This window comes from Homo sapiens, chromosome 13 (assembly GCF_000001405.40).
Source record: "Homo sapiens chromosome 13, GRCh38.p14 Primary Assembly".
Taxonomy (NCBI): domain Eukaryota; kingdom Metazoa; phylum Chordata; class Mammalia; order Primates; family Hominidae; genus Homo; species Homo sapiens.
This window is the reverse complement of record NC_000013.11, coordinates 81,340,784-81,347,129: the sequence shown is the minus strand read 5'-3', so window position 1 is coordinate 81,347,129 and position 6,346 is coordinate 81,340,784.

The following is a 6,346-nucleotide window of genomic DNA, read 5'->3' as shown; positions in this document are numbered from 1 at the left end:
GATCTCATATTTTTATCTTATTGATTTCTGCATTTATTTTATAAATACACTTTTCTTATGTCTCTCTTTGAGAAAATTGAATTGGTGATTATATAAGGTTCCTCTCTTTATACCCTTATTCCTCAGTAACTAAATTACTGAGTTTCAACACTTTCTTTTAAAAAAAAGTTTTGTGATACATGTGTCTCCCAAATTAAGGAGATGAAATGAACTCTGACATAGATTGCATGGGACTCTTTTCATGCTTTTAGGCCTATATAAAGAAAGAAGGGTTAAATGGTGGGTTATTTTAATTCTGAGCTATTAGATTAGACATTCTATAGTCTGTGAGAAGTAAAATGTGAGGCATAGCTAAGGGCAATCCAGGCAGAGAGACTATTGTAGCTGCCCAAAATGACATGCTGCAGAATCTCCACTCCTTGTATAGCACACGTACCTCTGTTAAAAATCTTCCTTTTCATACTACTTTGGGAGCAAGGAGTAAGCATATTTTATACTATACAGAGCATGCCATTTTGGTGGTAGCATGGTTATAAAAATTAATATTTGGTCCCATAAATTGAATTGTAGTAAAAATTTACACCATATTCTGTCATTTCAAACTGTGCGATATTAATGTTCTCTTGTCCTTTCCTCCCAGCAGGGGTGCCTTTAACTTACATTTGAGGCAGTGTATCTTTATTTTTAATAGAAGTACATATAAGGAAATATGTACTTAATCTTTGAAAGTTTAATCACAACTAGTCACTTACATTTAGACTCTGACATTTACTCATAAAATGTTTGCTAAAAATTTAAATGCAGAAATGGGAGTAATACATGTTTTAAAAAGCATCTACTGCAATCAGGATTCTTTCCTTGTTGATATAACAGTGCCTACCATCGCTGGCCATGAGGCATTGCACATCCCCTTTTCAGATATAAGTTTATGTAAGTAATTTGCCGTAGAAACATTTCTGTTTCCTTCTGCTTTAAAAATTTTGTTATAAGTCTCAAAATCTTGTGTATTTAGTTCAATAGAATGAGCACCAAACTTGATGTCAGGGTAACATGGCTGAATTATTAGTTCTCTGGATATCTAGGCATTTTACCAGTAACCAAAGATACAATATATTAAACTTGTGTCTTTACAGAAGATGAATTCAGAAAATTGGGCTTAAGAATACATAAAAATGTGTGTTTTCTTCAGGAGTAAATAAAATAATCTATAAGAAAGTGTTTTGTTGCTCTTTATTAATTTCCTTGACATACTGCTGAGCTTTTCTTGCATGCCAGGTATAATATTAAAAATTATTCTAATATCTTAGGTATTTCCTTATCTTCAGTCATTCTTATACACAACTCATATTTATAGGCTACCACCATTTCTTAGGTACTTTTTAAATTCAACTTATGTTTAATTCATCATATGTTAAGCTGTAATAGTCATGAGATCATGAGTTTGATGTGCCAGATTTTACACTACTCCTCAAAATGAAACATTGGTATAAAAGTAAAAAAAAAAACTCCAGTTATAAAAAAATGAACAGATTGAAATGCTCTGGCTTATGAACAGTCTACCATCCGAGGCCATCCTGAAATTCACATCTTTACCAATGACCGAGCTGTGGCCAATAGCTTAGCTGTATGGTCTAGTAGCTGAGTGGCCTCAGAGTAGACAATCCATGACTGGCATTGTGGGGTGCTTCCCTTTGGCGATGCATTGCTGGTATCTGCACCATGTGGCCTATCTTCATGTTCTATGTCTAGGCTCATATCAGTTGCCAAGATCTTGTCTCTAAATATATGAAAAAGGTTGATGAGCTTACCCACATTTCTGCCCTTGCGGTAGAGAATAAGGTACCTGAACCAGCTGTCTTATCCTGTACACACCTGATTTTGGGGCATCTCAGACAAGCTCAACTATCAACTTGGAGTAGCATCACTTGGACCTCTCACTCCCATACCAGCAGACAACAGACAGCTGGACTAACTGAGAGCATAAATGGGCTAGTGAAGAAGGTCCTTCTTCGAGAATAAGCTGGCTGCTGGACTCATTCTTGACCAACATCTGCTCCTGGTGTTGGCCCATATTAACAGCTACACACTGGGGCCTGCTACTCCTCATCTCCAAGGACTTGTTGTATTTTCAAACTTTCTGCCTTGTCCTTTACTCTGCCCTGCCTATCCCAATGTGGAACAACTGGATTTTGATGTTGCCACAGCTGTTGTTGCTGGCCCCAGGACAGGGGCCCTCAACTAATGTTTCCCCTTGTCTGTCCCCTTGGGGATGCTCCCCACAACTTTGGGCCACCCTCCCATGGACACAGCATCCCTTCAAAGGCTCCTTAACTCTCTTCCTCCAGTTAATGTTACTACCAGAATGAACGTGCTACTGGCCACCCTACACGATTCTACCTCCAGATATGGTGCCCACCACGTTGCTGCCATGCAAAGTCCTCTGAAAACCAACTCTGGAATCAACTCTTATTGAAAGCAAGCCAATTACTGGCAGCCACGGGAACACATTGAGCCTAAAATTCTTAGAAGCTCATTGCCTGACCTTTGTTTATCACAGTAAGTTAACATGGGCAAATAATATTTGGACCCGTAGATAGACATATCCTTGCTCTTGCTATTGACACCACTGCTTTTGCTTATTAGCATTTTTCCTTCTGAGCCTCCTCTTCTGTGGGCTGTGGAACAATTGTGATGATAACACTCTGCACAATGCTCAACATTGGGAACCTTTCTGTAGGGGCCTTCCACTTTGTGGTTTGGTTACTACTAATTTCACCTCATCTGCCACAAACCCCAGATCAGCAACTGCCTCCCCTGTGCCAATGAGTACCCTTTGGGTCATTACCACCAAAAATTCAATAACTGATCAGTGAAGACAAGGCTCTGCTCATCTTACTAAAATATCAGCATGATTACATCTCCACTCTTGAAAGTCGTACCCTGCCCTGTGCTCCCACTCCTACTATCAGGAAGCTCATGAGTTGTGTTCCCATATACTGTCCCAATTACCAACTCTCAAACACCATTGCCATGCTTCTGCACTGGGACCAATCAGACCTTCTGTAGATTCATCTCCCGAAGCCCCTTCCGGAGTGGCCTGACTTGGCAGTGTCCCCTTGTCGGCCCTGCACTGATAGAATTCTACTGTGTTACTTAGGAGAGTTTTGCCCAGATTGAACTGATCTTTTCACTTTGATTGTTTACCCTGTGGGGCCCCCACCACTGGGTTGGCAAAATGCTAACAATTACTAGTGGAGGAAGGCACTTGCTGCAATACAGACCTCACAGCACCATATCCCTGATGCCTGTGTCATTCTTGTGATACGTGGAAACTGGGACATCATGGTTACTTCTTTCCCTCCCCTCAGACTCTACCAGGTGAATGATGCTGTGGGCTAATAACACTGGTTGCTTAACCATATTTGGCCTCCCTGTGTCATGTGCCTTCATCTCTGCTTACAAAAATTCCACTTTCTTCCAACACACCAGCACATAGCAAAGATTCCCTTCTGATCAGCTTCCACAGACACTCCCTCATCTTTCTTCTTAGCTTTTATTCAGACTCTTCCAATGTTGTAGCAACTTTACAGGCAAAGAGCTTTTTCTACATTCATGCAGCTCGTAACCCCAGCTCAGGTCTTTCCCATCTGCAAGGAGCTGCTTCATGAACAATCACTTCTATGCCTTGTCCTCACAAATTCACTTCAGGGAGGTCACTACCAGTGTACCTCCACACTTATCCAGCATTGCCAGGTCCCTTGCTTTGTCACGTGCATGATGAATATTAAGCACAGACTTTCTACCTGTTGGAAGATACCTTTACTGCTATCATCCGTGCTGTGCCCAGGATGGTTGCACCGCTTGTCCTACTAACCCCAACTTCATCACTGCCTGGCAAGAATTTTACTGGTGTATTTGCCCAGTATTTTCTTGGACCACCTACAGCATCATTTCTATGGCCTGTATGCCTGTAAACACTTGGCATCTCAGTTGTACTTGGCAGTATTCTGGAATGGACAAGACCTGAAACTTTGGTTTGATTGGTCAATCTCCACAAGCAAGCTTTGCATCTGTGACATCACCTCCAGTGCATAGTGTTTCCAGACCTTACTATGAAGTTCTGAAACCACCTGGTCTTTGTGCTCCACACTGGTCTGCCATTTCTGTGCAGTCAAGACAACTCCAACCTGCTGCCATCAACCCTGTTCAACTTCTTTTGCCTTTCTATGTAATAGTGTTTTCCAAACCCTAGCATGCCTATTGCCTTTTGTTGCTTCAGGTGGCCAGATATTCCACATCCAATTGTGGCTTCTCCAGAACTTTTCACGAATGATCTTAGCACAGAAGCTCACAAAGCTATCCTTGCAAGAAGAGCTTAGATTCCCTTTATGACAGAAATACCTGGTAACTGACCTGGACTGAATACAGGTAAAAGAAAGGGGAAAGTGTTACCCAAACTCTGAAATTGGTCTCCAGACAGAGACTCTCCTGACAGTTAGTCATCTGAACCCCTGACTGTACCTGGCTTATGTTGCCGGTCTGCTCCTGCTATGCATCTTCTGGGTGCTGCCAGAATAAACTGCTTGAACACTAGATGGTATCTGAGATTCAACTTTGATGTGGATCAAACCTATAGGGAGAAGTTGCCTGGTAGACTAAAACCACCCAAAACCCCCAAACACAACTGTTTCTTAAATGTGAAGATATATTGACAGAGAATGTAAAAAAGTGGCAAGATTAAATGCTAACATGCAAGTCACATTATTTTTCCTTGCATGTGATTCTTCTATACCTGTTTTATGTCACTGTAAAATGATAGCATATGTCTAATTTAAATTGAAGAACCTTTGAGAATGCAAATATACTAAAACATGAGAATTCTTTCCTAGCTCATACCTGGTATAACATCATTTTCTAGTTCTTTCACAAAGAAATGAATGAATGGAAAATTAATTAACTTGTTAAGCTCTTATATGCATTAGTCAATTTGATTTTATTATTTAAAAATAGTTACTAATCTTAGGTGCTATTTTTCAAAATTTTATATATGAAATTTTGAATTAAGGGAGGTTTAGCAACTGGCCATTATCACATATTTAATAAATTGCAGATCTAAATGTCCTAAAAAGATAGACCAAAGATATCTGTTATATATATGAACCAATTAAAAGTTTCACTTTCAATAGTTATGGTGGGAAATAATATCTGGTCTTTAACTCATATAATAATAGTAAACATATAGAAATACTAGAAATTACTCATTCATTTAATTAAAACTTAACTATTTATTTTGCATTTTTTTTTAGAGACAGGGTTTTGCTCTGTCACTCAGGCTGGAGTGCAGTGACATGATCGTAGCTCACTGTACCCTCAAATTTCTGGACTCGAACAATTCTCCTACCTCAAGCCTCTCAAGTAGCTAGGACTATAGGTGTATGCCACCAGACTAGGCTAACCCTTCCCTCCCTCTCTTCCTTCCTTCCTCCCTTTCTCTCTCTTTCTCTCTCTCTCTCTTTTCTTTTCTTTTTTTTTTTTTTTCAGATGAATTCTGCCTATGTTGCCCAGGCTGATCTTGAATTACTAATCTGAAGCAACACTCCTGCCTCAGCCTTCCGAAGTGCTGGGATTCTATGTGTAAGCCGCCATGCTTGGCCTGCAAATATTTATTGAATACATAATTTTTGAAGTAATGAAAAACTGAAGTCCAAAGATTTTTCGTTGTGATTTAAAATAAGATTTAGAACTATTGTCATATCCCTATGGAAATGAAGCAAGTGAAGGAGTTTTGTATTATTGAGAGGTGACAGCGTGCTGGCAGTCCTCAGAGCCCTCGCTCGCTCTGGGCGCCTCCTCTGCCTGGGCTCCCACTTTGGAGGCACTTGAGGAGCCCTTCAGCCCACCACTGCACTGTGGGAGCCCCTTTCTCGGCTGGCCAAGGCCGGAGCCGGCTCCCTCAGCTTGCAGGGAGGTGTGGAGGGAGAGGCGTGAGCGGGAACCCGGGCTGCCCCAGGCGCTTGCTGGCCAGCTGGAGTTCCGGGTGGGCGTGGGCTTGGCCGGCCCCGCACCCGGAGCAGCCGGCCCGCCCTGCCGCCCCGGGCAATGAGGGGCTTAGCACCCAGGCCAGCAGCTGCGGAGGGTGTACTGGGTCCCCAAGCAGTGCCAGCCCACCGGCGCTGCACTTGATTTCACGCCGGTCCTTAGCTGCCTTCCCGCGGGGCAGGGCTTGGGACCTGCAGCCCGCCATGCCTGAGCCTCCCATCCCCTCCGTGGGCTCCTGTGCGGCCGGAGCCTCCCCGATGATCGCCGCCCCCTGCTCCACAGCGCCCAGTCCCATCAACCACCCAAG